Source organism: Homo sapiens, chromosome 18, assembly GCF_000001405.40.
Source record: "Homo sapiens chromosome 18, GRCh38.p14 Primary Assembly".
NCBI classification, from domain to species: Eukaryota; Metazoa; Chordata; class Mammalia; order Primates; family Hominidae; genus Homo; species Homo sapiens.
Genome location: NC_000018.10, coordinates 48,761,695 through 48,781,514, shown reverse-complemented (window position 1 = coordinate 48,781,514; position 19,820 = coordinate 48,761,695). Strand labels below are relative to the sequence as shown.

The window sequence follows — 19,820 nt, the reverse complement described above, 5'->3', positions numbered from 1 at the left end:
AGAGAACGGGCTGTTATCTCTCCTCTCCAGCCCGTTTCCTCCACTTCTCAAACAGCAGATTTCTTCCAGCCTGGCTGCCTCCCCTGGTCACCACCCACAGCCACTGGCCCCTGGGGCCCGGCCAAATCCCCCGCACCCTCTTTGCCCTAGACTGTGACGCCGAGTCTCTGCTAATCAGACAGTCGCCTCTGCCCTCCCAGCCGCCGCCCCCAGAGTTCCCTGGAAATGTCCCTTCTGCAGGCCCGGCCCCCGCTGCGGCGCACGGCTTTGTCTGCACACACAGCTGACTTGTGTTTGCAGGGACAGACAGGGGCTGGCGCTGGGGCCGGAGCCAGGAGGCACTAGGAGGGTAGAGCAGATGGGGAAAAACACAAAGTCCAGAGGACAAACTTTTGCAAGCAAACCCTTTGGGGTCATTTGGGAGCCTGACAACAAGAAGAGGGGGGCTCACAAAGCCAGAAGCTCCGTGAAGGCAGGGATGGGGGGGTCTTCGCCTTCTGTGACTCCCCCAGCAAACATATTGGCTTGCTAGTCTTTTGCGATCTGAGTACAGGAAAAATCATGCCAGCTAGGAGGGGATGGGATGACAGAGGAGTCCAGGGAGAGAGGGAGGGACAGATGGGCCTCCTGAGGCTATCAGCACGCCCCCCTCCTTAAGCCCTACCCCTGCACTCTGCCCTGCTAGGTACACAGAAGGAGATCCATAAATGCTGGTCATGCTGAAATGGCCTCTGGCCATCTTGCCCCTGTGGGGCCCTTATTCCACTGGCTCCCCAGCACGCTGCCTCTTGTGTGCGGACCGGCAGGAGGGAAGCCTGGGAGAGTGGCTGAGACAGCCCAGCACACCATGCATGCATCTTGATGCATGCTACATGAAAGGATCCCCCTTTATCAGGCAGAGAACCCAGTGTCCACAGTGCCCCGCCAAGCTCGCAGGGAGGGACACGCATGAACCGACGCGGCAGAGGTGCGTGTGCCACGTGCTGGATAAAGTGTCCCTCACCCTCCCACAGTCTCCCTCCAGCCTTTGCAGTTTTGAGCCTGATTTTGAACTAACACCGGGACACCGAGATGACGGGGTCATGATAAATCAAGTTGTATGGGGGTGGGAGGAGTTTTTAGCTTTTGTTTTGAAAGGCATAGCAGCACAGTGAAGAAAGCGATTTACAAGGTGGCTCTTTCTCCGGGTAGCACTCTGGGCTGTGTGCTGAGGAAAGCTTAGAAGGGTTTCTAGAGGACTGAGCAACCCAGGCTGCCTTGGCTCACACCCCAGGGTCCTCACTTCTTAATCATTTAGTGTTAGAAATGACATAGCGCACAGGCTCTAGTTTTTTTTCCTCTCTCCCTCTCCCTTTTTTTCTTTGCAGGCTTGGCCTCTTACACTTAGTGATCTGTAAGGAAGGGACCAGTTAAAGGTGCCATCACCCTTCCTCCAGCCTAGACAGGCAACGGAGGTACACAGCCTCATCTGAGACACAAGCTGCTTCCTTAGGACTTCTGCTGCTGGAACCTGTCATGGGAGACTCTGCCACCTGACCTCCGGGGCTGCATGCAGATGGTGCTCACAGATGCCCATACCCCACAGACCAGGGCCCACCTTCACCCAGAGCTGCAGCCTCCAGCACCTAGGGCTGCCAAGTGGAAGCAAAACATACCGATCTAAGTGGTCTTCTCTTTGCATTCACGAATCATGAAGGTGGTGGGTTGGAAACCAGCCCAGTGGGAAGGAAGGACATGGAGAAGTCTTGTCCCCCTTGGGAGGACAAGGAACCATTCTTCTGTCTGTCTGCAGCTTGGTGGAGACTCTCCCCCACCCCCGGCAAGACAGGAAAGGAGGCAGCAGACCCAAGCCCGCTGCTAAGCGCTGGCCGGGAAGCTGTCTCTCAATTCTTTTGGTCATAAGATGGCAGTGGGGAGAGCCCAAGGCCTGGCCTGTGGGGAGGAGGCTCTGAAAGCATGGCCACCTAAATGGCATGTTTCTTATCTCGTTTCCCTGTCACCTCTCCTCAGCCTTATAACTGACCCCCTCCAGATGCACTCCTGACCAATCAGGGCATGCAGGTGGCAGTGTGTTCTGAGGAGACAGAGTGTGGGGTACCAGGGACTTGGCTCCAGTTCTGTCTGTCACTGACCAGCTGCGTGACTTGACGTATACCTCCTAAGCTCTCTGGAACTTTCTTTCCCCATGTATAAAATGGGGCTGTTAACCCCCACCCACAAAGGTCTAAGGGATACTTATGGCCCACAGTGTATGCATACAGCTGGTATCCAGCCAGTGACTGCAGAGAGCTGGCCCAATGGCAAAGGAGGAGTAACTGGTGTTCCTGTTGGACCCCTGACAGGAACCCCCAGACATGAGCGACACCAGTCAATGTTGTGTTTATACTAACACCATCGTCCCCACCATTCAAGCCTCATCCACCCAAAGGAGGCAGGTATTATCTATTACCCCAGTTTATAAATGGAAAACTGGGGCCCCGAGAGGGAAAACCACTTGCCCAGGCCACACAGCTACGAAGTATTAAACTTAGGATTCAAATCGGGGCTGTCCAGATCCTGTACTCTCAGTCAGGGCTGAAACAGCTTTGTGGCATCATTGTCAGCCAGAACAAAAAGAAACAAACTGTCATTCTGGGCTCCCCAGGGACCAGCGCGACCTGCTGGACTGATGTGTCCCGATGCGGTGCTAGTGAGAATGCCCCCAGAACGCCTCCAGTTCTGGGGTTCAGGGAGCACTCCCAACCCAAGGTGCTCACCTCCTGGCTGCTGGCATTTCAATGAAGTGTAGTACTCCATGCCCATCCTCACCGCCACCTCAGGCCCCTGGACACCCCCACCACCTCTGCCTGTTACCTGCTTCACAGTCCCACGGTGGTTGATGGGAGAGGCCTTCCTGGCTCAGGGGTAGAAATCAGAAATGGGGTGCCCAGGGCACACCATGAACTACCCCTTCTGCCAACATGCCCAGAGGCTGAACGGCCATCCCCTGGCCAGGTTCCCCTGGTACAAACCCCGGATGAGAGTCCCATCGATGAAGATAGACCAGGGACCTTTTCTACCAAAAGGGAATGCCTGTGGCTTTCCCCGGTGCATTTTCTGGGGGATTGAATGCTTGTTCTAAGTTAGCTTGTGACTGACCTGCTCACATCCTCCCCTGCACTCCTGCAGACCTGGGGCTCCCGCCTCCTGATTGATAAATGACATACCCTTTGAACAGCTAACATTTCTGAATGAATAGCTAAAATAAGGAAGTAACTACAATAGAATCGACCCCATTTTTCTACCTGGCTCCTTAGAAGATGGCTGAGAATGCCCTCCTGGCTCAGGCTCCCATGCTGTGCACAGACATTTTTTCTAGAATTCTGAGGCCCTGTGGGCTGTTTGCCTTCTACTTTAGGAACATCCTAACGGGTGGCTGCTAAAAAACCCCAAGAGGAATCCTCACAGAATGTTCCATAAAACATACTGCAATGACCACAGGGGCCCCAGGCGTGGGACCAACAAATTGGCGGTGTTGAAACAGTGACTCTACGGCTGCCCACTGCTGGTGACTCAAGGCATGCCTGTTTCCGGGTCCAGGCAGGTGTGGAAGGAGCTGACACCCCACACGGAAGCCCCTTTGCCTCTGTACAAGGCTACTGAGGCCAGATGAGGCTGCGGCCTGCTCTCTGTCCCACCGCCCCATGGCCTGCCCTTGACCCTGGCTGCAGTCCCTCTGTCCACCCCTACTGCATGGGAGAAGCCTGTTGACAGCCAGGGCTCTTCCCACAACCTCTTCCTGCTGTTTGAGAAAGAACATAAACAACACTAGACAAACCAATGCATTTTAAGAAAATGCAGCCTCAGCTGGTTGATACTCATTCGTTCCTAAGGGCAGCTGGGTCTCTGGGCAGGCACTGTTCCCAGGGAATCCAGGACCCATGCTCTGTCCTCCTTCTAAGCTACCTGAGACCTCGGTGGCCCTCCTGTGGCCTCCAAGAGCCCTGGTTGTCTTGGGTATAAAATGGGAATGAGTACTACACTGGCCCGTTTTGGAGGTCTGGAGGGGACCCTTGCTGTGGGTTCTAGTCCAACTCTCAGCCTGAGGTTTCTGGACTCAGGGCTGGGACCCCAAGGGGTCTGAAAATTGCACATAGGAGGGTGGCTTGGTGGCGGTCACCATCATATAGTTTAAATCTTCCCTGTGGGACAGCCCCCAGGATGCCAAGATGCTGGGAGGTGGCCGCAGGCAGGAAGGGCTGGCCTTGCACACTGGTGCCCCCTGCAGGCCGCCCTGCCCACCCAGCAGGTGCTGCCGCCAGCACACACAAGCCAAGCAGGCCCCAGACTCTGTAAATGGGGCCAGGCGGGTGGGAAGGAGCCGGCCAGACCCGCCGGGTGGGGAGAGTTGGGGATGGGTCCTGCTCTGCACTGGTCAACCCGCTAACCAATCAGTCAGCAACAGGCATTTTAGCAGGCACCCTCTGTTTGCCTAGCGCATCTGCTTTGGGATAACAAAGCTGGAAGGAATGTCTGAAATGACTTCTAACCTCTCCATGTTTTATGGGTGAGGAAGCCACCATCAGGGTAGAAGGCCTGGCCTGAGGTCGCCCAGCCAGGGAAAGGCAGGGCTGGGGCTCCCCACCGGATCTCCTGCAGCCCAGAGCACCTCCTCCCACGCCGAGCCTTTAAATCCTCAGCTTCTGGTTCCCTGTTTGGGATAAACAACTGCCAGATTGCAGACAGAGCAGCTCCCATCTTCTCTTCCCACCCGCAGTGGGTTCCAGCCTCTCCCTAGTCCTAGACCTCCTTGCAACCTTCACAGGCTCAAGGCACTTGAGGGGCTGTGCGAGGCAGACAGAGGTGCCACAGGCTCTGCTGGAGAGGGCCTGGTGCCTGGCTGGGGAGACCTGACCCACAGACCACACCCGACCCAGTGCCCTCGTTTCCCCTATGGGGATGCTGAGGCTCAGACGGTGACATTAGTTGAGGGGCTGGCTTCAGACTTTCTGCCTCCTGCTCCACCACTTGAGGGAGGGGAGGAAAAGGGGCTTCTGCAGAGGGGAGTGAGGTGAAAGCAGCAAGTGTTGCTGTGCAGACCCGCCCCATGGCAGCCTCCTGCACAACCCTGCTCTGGCTCCTGCAGAGCTCCTGGGGGTGGCATCATGCTCCCCCTCCCCCACAGCGAGCACTGCACCTCTGTGCCTGGTTGGGCGGTGGGCGCCCATCTCCATATAGCTCTGGAAGCAGCTGGTGCACAAAGAGGGGCTGGTTGGGGCACATGGGGGCATATGGAGGTGGGCATCCCTACCCTCTCCTACAAGGCAGTAACCTCACCAGGGAGGGGTGGCGGGTATCTTCTGGCCTCAGATGCCAGGCCCTTGGTGCCACACCACCTGCCTCAGCAAAACCCCAGGGTTCAGAGGCCCTGGAGCCTGGCCAGGGTCGCAGATTCAGCAGCCCACTCTGCCACCTGCAAAAGACGGCCCAAGGCTGGCAGGAAACTCACGCCTCTTGAGGTAGAAGTTTTAGTTTTGGATGAAAATATGGTCTTGGCCTGAAATGGCAAGAAGCAGGCGCCAGCAAAATGAACGGGCCAGTGTGGTTACAGTGACCTGGGGTCACGGCCCGGCTGGGCAGCCTCAGCCCTGGGCTTGCTGATTGACACCCTCCGCCAGGCTGGCGGTACCTCCTTCCCCAATCCTCCTCTGCAACCCCCAGTCCCTCAAAGGGTCCTGCCACTTACAGATCCTCTTGTTGTCTTCCTTCCACCCAGATCCTGCCTCTTCCTTCATGCTTCCTCCTCCAGGAAGCCTTCCTCAACCTACTCCACTTACAGGGCTTGCCCCTTCCTCTGATGTTCCTAAACTGCCCTCTGGCTGAGCTGGCCCTGCCCCCCTTTATGTGTCAGGCAGAGGCCAGTGCCTGTTTCACTGGGGTTTCACAGTACTGAGCTCAGGGAACCCTGTGGGGCCTCCAGGCCAGTCCCAGGGCCCCTTGGAGAGCTTTCCTTGTGGCTGGATCCTGGGCTGTCTACAGTGCTGCACCCAAACCTCAAGTCCTACTGTGCCGGGGGCCCCTGGACTTGTGGAAGAATCTCTGCGTGGGCATCTCATGGCGCTTTCCCTGCCTGGGACCTCCCCTAAGAACCTTGAATGAATGGAATCATCAAAAGGAAAAGGAAAAACATGCTGCTATGAAATTCACAAGTTTCTCCTGGAGGAGGAGTCTTAAGGGAACACAGGTAAAAGTCAGGCATTTCAGTGGATTTTAACAATGATAATGTCAGTGCAGTAGGCAGGAGGAGGAGATGGGTATTATGACCCCATTTAACAGAAGAGTAAGTGTAGGGCTGCCACGCTTGAGATCCACCCAGAGTCAACCAGTTGCATGGCGCCACAACTAGAGCCAGGGGGAGGTGGCTGGCTCTTGGCCGCTTGAGTTATTTCTTATGCCACAGGTGGTAAGGCATTAAAGGAAGGGTCTATGGCAGGGAAGGCTGATTCCAGGTGACTGTGCTTCGAACCCCACTTTAGAGATATTACTCCCCTTGCCACATTTTTTTTTTTAATACTCAGAATAATGCAATGACGGTTGCCTAATGGGGTCCATGCTAAGTATGGGTCCAATATGTGGCGCTCCAATACGCAGCTGCTCAAGAATGCACTTATTCCGATTATAGCTATTCACCAGCTTTAGCTGGAGTCTGGCTTTCCCCAAATACCTCCTAAGCTACCCCCTTCTTTCGTATGGCCTTTGCTCTACGGAAAACTGGGAGGCAGGGGCATGACATGGTGACGTGCTGGCTCCCAAGCCCTCTCTGCTTAATGGGTCTAGGTGTGAATGACCTGGGTGCATACAGACTTCTCTGGAATACACTTGGTCTCAGGCTCGGCACTGTCAAGGGGGTGCTGGAGGGGGGACGATTTTGAGCATGCCTGTCCTCATACTTCAAAGTGGCCTGAAGCTTCTCTCACTCTGGGACCTGGGATCTGTCCTGGAAGGGCCAGCAGAGGGTTAAGGGAGGGTCGTTCCCTGCAGGTTCCTCCCTGTCCCCCCCAAAGAGGCCGCTGTTTTTCCCTGAAGACTCAGAGCTCTGCACCCTGATACCGAGTGAAGGCCTTTAAACCTGAGCTCTAGGTGGGAGGCAGTGAGGCACTCTGGCGGTGTACAGGGACCCCTTATTCTAGGCTCTGGGTTTCAAGGGCAGAGCCATGCTGAGCCAGCATGACGCAGACTCCCTGTGCCCATGGTTCTGCTTCTGGTCGAGTGTATCCGCCTCTCCTGGACAGAGGGGCCCAGAGAGGGAAGACCTAGAAGTAGGAAAAGCTGGCCTTTGGGCACACCATGGGTTTAAATTGCTCACATGATGCCGATTGGCCTCAGAGTAACCCAGGCACTGATGGCTGCCCCTGCAACAGCGCCTCCCTTCCATGCACTGCGCCGTGCACTCTGTGTGTTCCTGACCTCTTGGTGGCTGTCTGGAGGGGAGCTGGGGAGACCTCTGTCTCCGTAAGGGGGCCTGCTCTTTATCTAGACAAGGTGGAACCTGGCCACCCTGAACACTGTGGGTATAAATACTCTTAGAGCGGAGGGTTGAAGGCCAAGTGTGGCATTCCTGCTGGCTGTTGAAAGAGTTGTCCTGTCATCTCCTCTTCCTGTTCCTCTCCCCCTCTGTCCCCTCAACTCCCTTCTGGTTCATTATAGGCATCAGAAACGCAGCTCAGGCAGGTTGGTATGGGCGAAGGGCAACAAGGAGATAAGCCCACAGCAGCATGGTGAGGGGCACCAGGGCCGGGGGTGGGGCACCCTGTGCGGAGTCTCTATCCATTCTTCCTATCAGCGGCCCACAGGCCAATGTTAGGGGCCCTCTCTGGAATGCAGGCTATGTACCCCTGGGGAAGCCTGCTCACCCAGGGGCTCTGGTTCGAAGATGCCCACTGACTTGTCCCAGAAGCTCTTGGAGCCCACCATGGCACTTACTGAAGGAAGGGGACCAGCGCTAGGGGAGCACAGTTCCCCATGGCAGGCAACCCCAGCTCCTGGCTCTGGCTGGTGGGGGTGGTGGTGGAAATGCCACAGTTCCATGTGCCAGGGGCCAGAGAGCAGGATCCTGAGAGTAGGGCAGGGAAATGAGGCCTGCCATCACAGCTCAGGTCTTTGAGGGGCAGGCTTAAGCCTGGATATGCTCCCTCTCCACAAGAGACCACGTGGCTACCTAGAACCCCTGGTTCTCTGATGTAAAACATCTTTAAGTCCAACATCCTATGACCTATCAACATGTCTTCATGGCCTCTTTCAACCTCTCCAGGCCTCAAGTCTCTCAACTGTAATACGAGGGGGTTGGACTGGATGATCTATAGATCCTTCCTGCAAGTCTACACTGGTCTATGATTTTTAATTGATCCTGGAACTCTACATCTCAAGAACCCACAATGGCTCCCTGAGTCCCACTTTATAAAGTCCAGATCCTTCTGCCTCTTAGTCGGTCCCCCTTATAGACTTCCTCCAGCTCTCAGCTGAATTTCAGTAAGGCAGTGTCCTTATTGTCCCTCAGTTGTGTCATTTCTTTGGCTCTTGGTTCATGATATTTCCCCCATCAAAAACACCCTTCCTGGAAACAGTTTGGCAGATACTCAAAAAGCTAAAGATAAAATTTCCATATGATCCAGCAATTCCACTTCTAGGTATATACCCCAAAGAATCAAAAGCAGGGACTCAAACAGATATTTGTGCATGCATGCTCCTATCAGCATGAATCACAATAGTCAAAAGGTGGAAGAAAATCAAGTGCCCATTGACAGATAAATGGATAAACAAAATGTGGTATAGACATAAAATGGAATATTAGTCAGCCATGAAAAAGAAGGGAATTCTGACACATGAATAAACCTGGAAACCATGATGTGAAGTGAAATAAGCCAGGCACAAAAAGAAAAATATTGTATGATATCCCATGTGTGCTATTTGTAGAGTGGGTGAATTCATGGAGATGGAAGATGGAGGGGAGGCATTGCTGTAGGGGAGTTATTGCTGTAGGGGAGTTATTGCTGTAGGGGAGTTATGGTGGGTACATGGCTTTTGTTTGGGGTGATGAGAGGGTTTGGTGGGGTGCCGGGGGATGGTCATGGGCATTGTCCAACATTGTAGGTATGCGGGGTACTGCTGAACTGTGCACTTAAAACTAGTTCAGATGGTGAATTTTATGGTATATTTTACTGCAATAATAATTTGCCAAAAAGAAAAGAAAAGAAAAACAGTAACAAAGCTGTCCTGCCCTCTTCCTCCTCTGTGGCCACTCCCTCCCGCTAGGTTTAGCTCTCTTCTTGCTATAATACTGGGGCAGGCCTCTGAGCTCCTTAAGCATTTTCAGGAAACACCTTGGCGCCATGCACAGGCTGGTTCCAGAGGAGGACCTCAGATAACGCAACACTATTTTCTTCCTTTTGAAAGAGTGACCCTCTGTGGTCTCCTTCCTGCCCAGGGGCCACTGCTCTCTCTTGGTAGTGGCTGGGAGCCTCCCTGGGGAGCCAGGGACAGGGCGGTGAGCAGTTACATAACCCGCAGGGAGATTTTTTCCATCAGCCCAGGCGGTGCCAGCTTTCCAGCGGCAGCCACGGCAGGTAGAGGCGCCCTGTCTGGGCCGGCCGTGCCCGGGCAGGGCAGAGATGCTGCGATCTGGAGCCGCTTAGCATAGCTCAGATTCCCCGCGGCGGCTGGGGGCCGGCCGCTCACAGAGCTGGGGGGAAGGATCTGCTGTCTCCTGCCTGCCTGGCTCCGGGGAAGGAGGAGGAGGAGGTGCTGGGGGTGAGCTGCCAGCCAGCCAGGGGTGACCCTCTGGGGCCTGGGACACCCGAGCTGGCCTTCTCCGGTAACCCACTTATCTGCAGGGCCTGCTTCGGCGTGGCAGCCTCAGACAGGGCAGTGCCCGGCCAAGTTCTATCAGGGGATTTAGCAGGGAAAATGAACCCTGGGTGGGGGGTGAGGGCATGCAGGGAAGGGGACACGGTCTGGCAAGGGACACGGGTGATGGTGAAATAATTCCTGACCTGGGTAAAGCTCTCCTGGCCCAGAAGCGAGAGGGAGAAAACCCCAGGCCATTCCCTTTTGTGGCTGTGGCCTGTGCTATTCCCATGCCTGCCTATCCATGCTCCTTCCTCCCCAGTGAAGGAAGCTCCTGGAGCCAGCCAGCTGATGCCTGATGAATACCTTGTGGGTACCAGTATGGTGGTGGGACACAAAGATGACCCAGACGCATTCTTTGCCCCAAGACATCCACAGATACAAGTCTCAGATAAGAAAAGCTTAAACAGGGGAGCCCAGAAGACTTCATGAAAGGGACACATGGTAAATGTTCAAGAGTCAGAGGAAGGTGAGGTCCCTGGGCTGGGAGATCAGGGAAGGTTTCCTGGAGGAGGCAGATTTGACTAGGAGGAAGAGTACACCTGTCAATCCTGGGCCCACCGCCCAGGAAGACAATAGTCTAAAAGCACTCATTGCCTGCCCTCATTGTTCCACATTTAATCAGCGTAGGGGGGGGAAATGGAAATGCTGCCCAAGACTGAGGCATGGGGTGGTCTTTGGGAATCTAGGATGGGATAAAGTTAGAAGGGCCTCCCAGTTCATCCCACCAGGGCAGGGCACCCACACTGATGGAGCCATCCGAGTGGTGTGGCTCAGAGCTGGGGTCCGTGCATGCATTACCTCATTTAAGCTCTACCACAACCCAATCATCCCTTGCAGGACGGAAACGTGGGTGCAGAGACATGTTTTAAATGCTCAAGATCAGCATCGAGGCAGCAATCGATGCTACTGCACAGGTTTGCTACTCCTCAGGCCTCAGCGTTGCTGCCTCAGGGCAAGAAATCCTGTCTAGAGAAATGAGATTCGGGGGCACGACCCACACCTGTCTGCTCCAGATGGCCCAGCTGACCTGATTCATGAAGCTGCAGGCTGGTCTTGCTCTCCCCTCCTGAGCCACCCACGCTCCTAACAACACAGGGCAATGGCCACTTTTCACGGGAAAGGAGTGACTTTTGTCCAAGGCTCCCTCAGCCTCTGCACATCTAGAGTCTCTGACAAGGCCTGCAGTAGACTGCCCATGAGACTTGTAAAAGCCCATGCCGTGCACAGAAAGGCACTTTGGGCTTTCTCAGGAGCGGGGCTCTCTGTGATTTTGAAGAACACAGTAGTGGCGCAGTGGCGCAGTGGCACAGTGGCGCAGTGGCAAAGAGGCAGGAAGCTGGGCACTTGGTTTTGCAGGAAGCTCACTGGTCCCTGGGGGCCTGGGGCAGTAGTTGGCACAGCAGCAGCACCCAGGCCCCCCTGATGATATGATGACTGGACACCTGGCATGCTGCTGTTCTGGGCACTTTCCAGGACTGGCTGAGGATCAGTGGTCATTTTCTTTCCTCGCTTATTTTCAGATTCAAAAATCAAAATGCTTGTTTATGATCCGGTCATCGGCTGCTCTGTCTCACTGAGCACTTCAAAGCTCCAGAGAGAACCACAGGCTTAGCACTCCTGGAAGCCACATGTTCCCCCGCCCCACCCAAACTGAACAGTCAGGGCGATCTGGTCTAAGCACTGACATTGAGGTATCCCACCTGGGTCCTTGAATGCAATGCTTAAGATTTGCACAAACAGATTGAAAGACCACAGTGGAGGGCAAATGAACAGAGACATACAGGACCTGCCACAGTGCATGGTATATAGCAGGTGCTCAATAAGCGTTGAGAAGAAATAAAGATTGGAGAAAAGCAGGTCATATTTACTCATCCCAAAGCAAGTGCAGACAACAAGATTGGCAACGAGGCACACGGCTCCTATCCACTGTGGCTCTGGCCGCAGGGGCAAAGAACATGGATAGGAGTCAGGCATTGGCTCTTCCTGTTGGGGGAGCCCAGGGCTGCCACAGAATCCTGGGCAGGGGTCAAGCTCCTGTGACTGCTGGCCTCCTGTGATGCCAGGCCAGCCTGACGAGGCCTGTTGGTGCCCACCTTCAGGGAAATGTGTGTGCCAACTCTGCATGTCCCTTGCAGGGCACGGGCTTCAGCATGGGGACAGATGGCCCACAGGGGGCAGGGCGGGAGCTCAGATGCCAGCCATTTTTAGAAAAACAGCCCTTTTCTGGGCTTTTGCAAGCTTCCGTGCAGCCTGCCCACGGGGAAAGCGGCTTGCACTGCCTCTGGCCCTTTGCTTCAGCCTTTCTGATTTCTAGCAACTAGTGGAGGGGAGCTCGATGTGGGTATGGCCAGGGCTTTTGCTCAAGCTTTGGAATGCACAGAACAATGTGCTTCTATCCCTGGGTGTGCCTGGCTTGGGCCAACATTAAAATTAGTTTACATGCCTGGAGTGCACATCGGCTCAGCGGTGGGTGTGCAGAAATGAGGGAGGGGGTCTGAGAAGAGGGAGAGGATGCAAGGAGGAGATGGGAACTGGGGCCAGCAGCCTGTGTGGTTTCACAGGGACTAGGGCGAATGGAGAGTGCAGGGGTTTCTTCAGGTACCCTTGACCTCCAGAGGCCCAGAAAGCTCAGAGACTCAGCGACCCCTGGAAACACAGTGGGATTATTCCACAGGGTGGATTTTGAAATCCCAATTGATGACTTCCTGAGATGGATTCTTTTTTGTTTTTTAGAGTCTCACTCTGTCGCTCACACTGGAGCGCAACAGCAGGGACCTAGCTCTCTGCAGCCTTGACTCCTGGCCTGAATGGATCCTCCTGCCTCAGCCTCTGGAGTAGCTGGGGCTTCAGTAGCAATGCTGCCACACCTGCCTATTTTTTTTTTCAAAGATGGGGTCTTTTTATGTTGCCCAGGCTGGTCTCAAACTCCTGGCCTCAAGCAATCCTCCTGCCTTGGCCTTGCAAAGTGCTGGGATTACAGGCATGAGCCATTGCTCCCAACCATGATATGGATTCTTGATTTTCCCAAGTTTTTGAGCCTTACACCCTATTTAGGATGTGGCATGGCATCCAGAAGCTCCAGCTAGCCTCGTGATGCTGGGTCAATCTTGCAGCCTCACTGAGCCACTTTCCCCATGTATAAGCCTGGGGAGGGATCCCTGCCCTGGAACCTACCTCCGATTCACACACAGGAAAGTGCTCAGAAGAGTTTCAAAGCCCCTCATGCCCCAGAGAGCATTGGTACCCATGACTGATGGCTCCATGCCTCCCTTCCACAGCCATTTCCTGAGCATCTACTATGAACCATGAAGCCAGGAGCTGGGGACAGCCGATAACTCAGCCAGGATTCTGGCCATCTAGGAGTTTAAAACTTAGACTCCAGGAATCGATATCAGTCTCCCTCCTCCCTTCCTATGTAAAAGATAAGAGTTAGGAACTTCAAACTTCTGACAAAGGGGAATGACTTGATTTTCCAGAGACCTTGAGAGAATCACAAGAGAACGAGGTTTTCCCCTTAGGAAGAGAGTTAGAGGAATGGCCCAGTTTTCTTCCCAAGCCTGAAAACATGGGACAAGGAGAAGGGCAGGAGGATGGGAGAAACGGGTAGAAGTGGGGGCAACACACACATCCAGGATGAGGTATGGGTAAGATACATCTTCAGGCTTGTCTCACACTTGAGAGATTCACTGATAAGGAAAGCCAAGCCAGAAAATCTTGAGTGCCCCTTCTGTGCTAAAGTCATTCCCAGAGATCCCACAGAGTCACCACTCAACTGAGCGTCTATGTATGAAAAGCCCAAAACACAATGCTTGATGATGACCCAGCCAGAAACTCTGAAGAGTTTCTCCGCTCTTTAGCTCAAGGTCAGCTTTTTAACAGGCTGTCTTCTAGAAGGTGCTAGAGAAGAGCAATTTATTTTGAAATCTGGTCACACACCAGATTCTGATTTTGTGTTGTCTTTTCACAACAGGCCTGCTGTGTTTATGACTTGGTTGAGACAAACTTTTTTTTTTCAAAAAAAGGTATCGCATCCTTCTGTTAGATGTGTTGTTGGCAACGGTTGCTAGGGAGAGCTGGGTTCAGTTACAGACACACTGATGCCGGCTCTAATAATACTTTGCTCTGCATAGCTCGGATGCAGACACCTCTTGGCTAAACAGAGCACACACATTTCAACAGAGGAGGGCTTGAACTTGTACTACCCAAGCCTGTCTCAGCAAAGGAGCATTCCCAGAGCCCACGTGGACGTCCCGGGGCAGTGACAGGGCAGTGCTGGGTGGAGAGGGCTCAGGCTTCCATTCCTGTCATTCCAAAGGTCCCATAAAAAGAGGCACACTCGTTCTTCACTTCTCTGTGAAACTGGAGCCCCTTCACCGCCCTGTATCACACCACAATTCCCTGATGAGGATCCAAGGAAACTTTTGGTTCCTTCTCTAACCCAGGCACCCTGGGCACCCCACATTCTCCTGGAAGTCGGAAACAATCAATGCACATCATCTAGTTAGTCAGTCTAGTCTGCAGTCAGGACCCTGCAAAGCCAGAGAAGTTGGGAACCTTGGTGGGAAGGTGTATGGGGAGACAGGCTGAACTGCGAAGTGTGGCCCAGCCTCTGGTACAGCCTGGCACCGTGGGTGAGAATGAGGCCCTTTTCCTAAAACATGTGATAGCTGTTCCGACACACATCCCAGGCCAAGGAAAAGGAAAATGGGAAAAGGAGCTGAGGACAGAGAGAAATGGAGGCAGCGGGAGAGAAGAGGTGGCTTTCATCTCATCAAGGAGGAGGTTCAGGGTGATGACAAGAAGAGCCTGAGGCTGGGGGAGTGGAAGGCATGTTCTCAGCAGCTGAGGCCTCCTGTGTAATGGGGTTCTCCTGCCAGCTCAGACTCGGAGTTTTCCCCCATGGCTCAGCAGAGAGCCCAACACCTGGCAGGTATTTCTTGACTGGTTCGCGGCATGACAGGCAGAGCCAGCTGATTCATAAGTGGCCGCGATGAACCAGTTCGGTGTCTCTGGGGTGTCTCCTCAACAGTGGTGTTCCACCCTGGCTAACGAATGCCCAGGTTGCGTCCTTGGAGAATCTAATTCAACTGATTAGGGGTAGGCCCCCTGCCTGCTGTGTTCTCATGATTCTCATGCATAGCGAGGCTGAGAACCACTGACCTAAAGAAGAGCCAGTATCTGAAATGCAATATTCCCAGGCCAGACCTCCACTCTGACCATCACACTGATGACAGACTGTGCCTTAGTTTGCCCATCTATGAAACAGAGCCACCACCTACAAACCATCAGTCATTCAATGCCTTGTGACTTCCCACTGTGGTCCCTGGACTAGAGCACTAGCATCTACCAGGAGCATGTTTGAAACGCAGAATCTCAAGCCCATCCCAGGCCTCTTGCATCAGAATCTGCATTTAAACAAAATCCCACGTGATTCATATGCACATTCCGGTTTGAGAACCCCTGACCTAATAAAGACAACATGCTTGGCACATTAAGAAATGTCTGTTTTGTTGTGGGGTGGGGGGAGGGGGGAGGGATAGCATTAGGAGATATACCTAATGTTAAATGACGAGTTAATGGGTGCAGCACACCAACATGGCACATGTATACATATGTAACTAACCTGCATGTTGTGCACATGTACCCTAAAACTTAAAGTATATAAAAAAAAGAAAAAATGATTAAAAAATAAAATAAAATAAAAAGTAAAAAAAAAAAGAAATGTCTGTTTAATAAATAGAATTTTACTTACAAGGACACTACTAATAAAAGGGCCACATTTCAGGTAAAAAGGAATTGGCTTGGATGTAAAAACTGAAGACCATTTTGGAGCTGTGGGATTGGTGACGGGGTCCTCTGAGACCCCAAGGTCTCCAGCACTGTCATGGCTCATGAGAATGGTGCTTCTGGGTTCCTTGAGATAGCAGTGTTGAGTCTGGCTGGGAAGGGTTAAAGGACCTTAAACCTTCTCCCTTCTCCCACCCTGCACTTCCCACTCCATGGGGGCTGCACCCCAGCTTGGCAAGAGCCCTCAGACCTCTGCTGCAGAATGTTTACCACATCTGCGGTTGCCCCTCTCCCTCCATGCTGCCGGCTCCCATCACTGAAGCCCTGGCAGCAAGAGAAGTCAGCCAGGGAGAACCAAGTGTAAAGACCACTGCTGGGAGCTGTGCTAAGGAGGCACTTCACACCCTGGCCCCTTTGTAGCCTGCATTGCTAAGCCGGGGCCCAGAACTTGTGTGTGGAAGTGGTAGCTGAACCTGATCCTATGGGGGCATCTCGGAGGCTGCCAAACCCAACCAGGTGCTGGTTGGGGACCGAGAGCCAGATGGGCCTTGAGTGGATGGAGCTGAGTGCAAACCTCAGGGAGGAAGCAGGGGGCAGGGCTGTGCAGGCCGGGTCTAGAACTGCCTGCCAGGAAGGGATGCAAACATAGTTTGCCAGAAAATGAAGTCAGGTGAAAAAAGACATCCCTGGAGGTGTTAAGAGGGAAAGCAGGTTTTGCTGAGCCCAGCCCATCGCTTTCTTTTCTTGCACCTCTCGGGTTTGGGTGGTGAGGGGCCATGAATTATGCTGTCCAGAAAAGCCCACTCCACCTCTGTCTCCTTGGCTGCAGAGAGAAGGCACAGGGCCTGAGGAGGCTCAGCCAGATGTGGTTCAGGTGTCCTCTGGGCCTTGGAGTCAGGGGGCCATTGTGGGATCAGGGCAGCCCCGCACCAGCACAGTCCACCCGCCTTCCCATGGCAGCTGAAAGGGCCTTGTCTAGCCACCCAGGAGGTCTGAGAACGCAGATCAAGCCTCTGGTTATACTCTCAAGGGGCTCCCTCCTCGGCTCACATGAAAGCTGGGACTGCAGGTGGTAAACAGGGGTGAGTGGTGGCCTATGTGGACATTTAGATTTCTAAAGACCTGACCCGCAGATACTCCACCCAGGCAAATGGCTGGCTTCCTCCACTGTGGGGGAGGAGAGGAGGAGCTGCTCTGAAACCTCAGAATGTGAGCCATGACTGCCTTGGGTGGGGGGTTCCCTTCTTGCCCTGGACTTCAGCTGTCCCTGCAGGCCCCTAGCCCGGGAGAAGGGAGGCTTCCAGCGCCTTCCTTTTCAGACATCCATTTCTCCTTGACGACCGAGGGCCCTCCAGCACCAGGCACTATGCAGCCCCTGGGATACAGAGGTGCAGAAAGTAGAGGGGTTCCCACCTCCCAGAGCCCAAGATGGGGGGCAGTAACGGCACGCACCCCAGTTTGTCACTGTGGATTCATGTGGCCATTGGTTTAAGTTCAACTCCTTCACTGCAAACCTTTTAAGGACAAAGCTGTGCCCAGTGACTGACTGCTGTATCCTCAGTCCCCAGGCTGGTGCCTGGCACACTAGAAATACTCAGTGAATACTAGGAGGGTGACTGAACATTGTGGCTGCAGGATGAGAGGTGCTGGGACAGGAGAAGGGCCAGTGTTTCCTGGAAAGTGGGGCCCTAGCACCACCTGAAGTAGGAGTGTGAGATGCTTCAGGGGGAGGTGCATGCTCAGAGTGGGACAGAGAAGTGAATTCTGGGGGAGAGTTCGTCCATGCAGGGTGTACTGGGAGGTTCAGCCTGGCTGATGGGGGGTGGGGAGCAGGATGTGGAGTGCCAGTTCTCTGCTCCAGAGACAAGGTGGCACCTGCAGAACTAGGTCTCTTGGGCTGGTCCCAAAGCCTGCATCACTCATGACAGACCTACTATGGAGCCACTATATGGGGTGAGTGGGTTTGTGAGGACTCAGGGGGACCCAGGACAGTTTCCTACTAGTGGCAAGGCCTCAGGAGCATGAGAAAGGGAAAGGCTCACACGGGGTCCCTCGTGCCCCTGCCCGAGACCCCGGCTCATCTCCAGTAGTGCAAAATCGAGGGTACACTGATGAAGGCTGTTGCTTGCACTTTCCCAGGGAACTATAGAGGCCAAGCTCCAACGGATGACAAACGAATCAGGTCTGGAATCCTTGCTTCCCAGCTTTCAATTTTGTGTTTTCTTCCCTGCTGTAGTGTTTGCCAAACTGTCTCTCAGCACACTAATCCCACAAGTAGTTCTTAACTGGGGAATGCAGAGGACTTTGTTGAGTTAAACGGAGCCAAACAGGTTCCCTTCCTGCTGGGACATCTGGAGCCTGTCCTAAACCAGTGCACGTTGTGGTTGATTGAGAGGTGAGTGCAGGGGCCATAGGGCCCCCTTTGTGGCTGACTGTTCCCCAGGATTGATGGTCCGCTGGACACTTGTGGGTGAGGCCACCCTTACCACGGCAGGTTGGAAGAAATACCCGATCTGAGATGGCCCCTGCAGCCAGCTGCCCTCCCCAAGTGCCCCATGCCCTGGGTGCCTGTCTGCCACCGGGTCTGGCTGGGTTACTTGGAGCTGGCAACCACTGTCTAGAACTCTTGCCCCATCCTGGCCCTTTTTTGAAAAACAAAACCCAAAGCCGAGACCATAGGCTGATGCTGTCCCTGACTCCCCTGTGCCGGGTGCTCTCTGGCAGACAGGCTTCTCTGCCCGCCACTCTCCACACGCTCCCAGGACATTCCGGCCCGCGAGGAACATGCCCCATGTGCAAATCCCTCAGGTAATGCGGGAATTCGTCACCAGGGGAGTGCGGGCGATCCAGGAATGGGAACCTGATCAGGGCCTGGAGCAGGAGAGAAGCAGCCCAGGCTGGCCAGGGAGGGCTCATGTTGCAGTGAGTGCAACTCACATGCAGAGGAGAGGGTGGGTGGGGATGGAGCCCTGCCGGCTGCATGTAGAGGTGGCCTTAGCGGCAACTTCCTCCCAGCTTTTAGGGAAGACGGCAGACTGCGAACCACATGGTTAAGGTGAGGGTGGCCATATGCCCTTGTTTACACCTGTTGTCTAGGCATAATTATGAACTGAACCCCCTTTGACTTTCACAAGTGTTGCAGTTTGGATGATCTATTGTATGGTCACCCTAGTTAAGATGGCCCTATAGCCTGCCATTCTACTTCATTACTTGGAAACTACCATTTTATCTCATCTGGACCAGAAACTCACTTTGTATCTTAACTAGTCTCTAAAATACAAAATAGGAGGAAAGGAGACATGGCTCTCCCCCAGCCAAGAGTCTCCAAGGACAGTCCCAGGACCTGATGTGGCCACCATCCCATGACCCTGCTATCTCTCCCTGACGTCACCAGTTTTGGGGCCACCAGCTCATCTGCTACTGCCCATACAGGCAAGCAGGTACTTGTGAGATGAAACATTGCTAAGCTCCGTCCAAGTGCACGCGCCTACTCCCACGACACACTCATGCTGATAGAACCACTGGACGTGGGCCTTCATGGAGGAAGCAATGATCAGGGGTGGGGTTACACTGTCAGAGGTGAAGGGATATTAAGAGGGAAAGAGCAAGGATGAAGACAGTCTTGCATCACCGTGACTTCCCTCTGCCCAGGAGCCATAGTGTGTTGGTAAACAGACTATCCCTTTTCTGCTCATGTGTGGCTTTACTCAAACCCATCTCACTACCAGTGATGATCAACTGCATATCTGCAAAGGTCTAAGGACCTAGCCCTGGGTGGAAGGAGGAGGAAAAGAGAAGTCCACAGCAAGTTCATGTCTGCTTGGATGTAGAGAGGTCAAAGCACATAGCCAGGTTGAGACCAAGAGCCAGCCTCTTATGAAAATAGAAAGTGGGAAAGGCTGGTTAAACATAAAGCACCTATAAAATTATATTGGTCCATTGTAACCAGGGAGCCCACACATAAACACACACAAATCCAGCCGCTCATTCCTGGCCCCTTAACTGCCTTTGTGTTTTCTATAATTAATCGGGCAAGGGCGGAACTTGGGAAAAGTCCAACTGTGGCCAGAACTCGCAGCCTTCTCGCTAGGAATAACTCACCGAACGCAGAGGGGCAGGGGGCGCGGGGCGGTGGTGGCCGGCGTCCA

At 53.8% G+C, this 19,820-nt stretch overlaps 1 protein-coding gene and 1 long non-coding RNA gene across 25 annotated transcripts in view, besides 9 other annotated features; both read right to left on the bottom strand.

Moving 5' to 3' along the window:
- Positions 1 to 19,820, bottom strand: part of CTIF (cap binding complex dependent translation initiation factor) — a 324,187-nt gene that overhangs the window by 81,703 nt on the left and 222,664 nt on the right. The window lies entirely within an intron of this gene.
- Positions 337 to 519: a silencer, noted in NCBI's record as "fragment chr18:46307367-46307549 (GRCh37/hg19 assembly coordinates)". NCBI's record gives its function as "represses an EF-1alpha promoter that drives an FKBP-Casp9 reporter gene in an ReSE screen in K562 erythroleukemia cells {active_cell/tissue: K562}" and the evidence as "EXISTENCE:reporter gene assay evidence [ECO:0000049][PMID:32094911]".
- Positions 337 to 971: a biological region, named in NCBI's record as "H3K27ac-H3K4me1 hESC enhancer GRCh37_chr18:46306915-46307546".
- Positions 340 to 971: an enhancer, noted in NCBI's record as "H3K27ac-H3K4me1 hESC enhancer chr18:46306915-46307546 (GRCh37/hg19 assembly coordinates)". NCBI's record gives its function as "activates a minimal SCP1, AML or CMV promoter by ChIP-STARR-seq in naive H9 embryonic stem cells {active_cell/tissue: H9 hESC(naive)}" and the evidence as "EXISTENCE:reporter gene assay evidence [ECO:0000049][PMID:30033119]".
- LOC107985147 (uncharacterized) lies at positions 1,361 to 19,819 on the bottom strand. Its single transcript, XR_001753444.2, has 2 exons — positions 5,726 to 19,819; positions 1,361 to 4,690 (listed from the first exon to the last, which is right to left on the bottom strand). It is a non-coding gene; the product is annotated as an uncharacterized LOC107985147 (long non-coding RNA).
- Positions 1,604 to 2,235: an enhancer, noted in NCBI's record as "H3K4me1 hESC enhancer chr18:46305651-46306282 (GRCh37/hg19 assembly coordinates)". NCBI's record gives its function as "activates a minimal SCP1, AML or CMV promoter by ChIP-STARR-seq in primed H9 embryonic stem cells {active_cell/tissue: H9 hESC(primed)}" and the evidence as "EXISTENCE:reporter gene assay evidence [ECO:0000049][PMID:30033119]".
- Positions 2,276 to 3,217: an enhancer, noted in NCBI's record as "H3K4me1 hESC enhancer chr18:46304669-46305610 (GRCh37/hg19 assembly coordinates)". NCBI's record gives its function as "activates a minimal SCP1, AML or CMV promoter by ChIP-STARR-seq in primed H9 embryonic stem cells {active_cell/tissue: H9 hESC(primed)}" and the evidence as "EXISTENCE:reporter gene assay evidence [ECO:0000049][PMID:30033119]".
- Positions 2,543 to 2,622: a silencer, noted in NCBI's record as "silent region_9437". NCBI's record gives its function as "represses an Ori minimal core promoter by ATAC-STARR-seq in GM12878 lymphoblastoid cells {active_cell/tissue: GM12878}" and the evidence as "EXISTENCE:reporter gene assay evidence [ECO:0000049][PMID:35858748]".
- Positions 2,693 to 2,832: an enhancer, noted in NCBI's record as "active region_13294". NCBI's record gives its function as "activates an Ori minimal core promoter by ATAC-STARR-seq in GM12878 lymphoblastoid cells {active_cell/tissue: GM12878}" and the evidence as "EXISTENCE:reporter gene assay evidence [ECO:0000049][PMID:35858748]".
- Positions 4,453 to 4,953: an enhancer, noted in NCBI's record as "H3K4me1 hESC enhancer chr18:46302933-46303433 (GRCh37/hg19 assembly coordinates)". NCBI's record gives its function as "activates a minimal SCP1, AML or CMV promoter by ChIP-STARR-seq in primed H9 embryonic stem cells {active_cell/tissue: H9 hESC(primed)}" and the evidence as "EXISTENCE:reporter gene assay evidence [ECO:0000049][PMID:30033119]".
- Positions 4,954 to 5,454: an enhancer, noted in NCBI's record as "H3K4me1 hESC enhancer chr18:46302432-46302932 (GRCh37/hg19 assembly coordinates)". NCBI's record gives its function as "activates a minimal SCP1, AML or CMV promoter by ChIP-STARR-seq in primed H9 embryonic stem cells {active_cell/tissue: H9 hESC(primed)}" and the evidence as "EXISTENCE:reporter gene assay evidence [ECO:0000049][PMID:30033119]".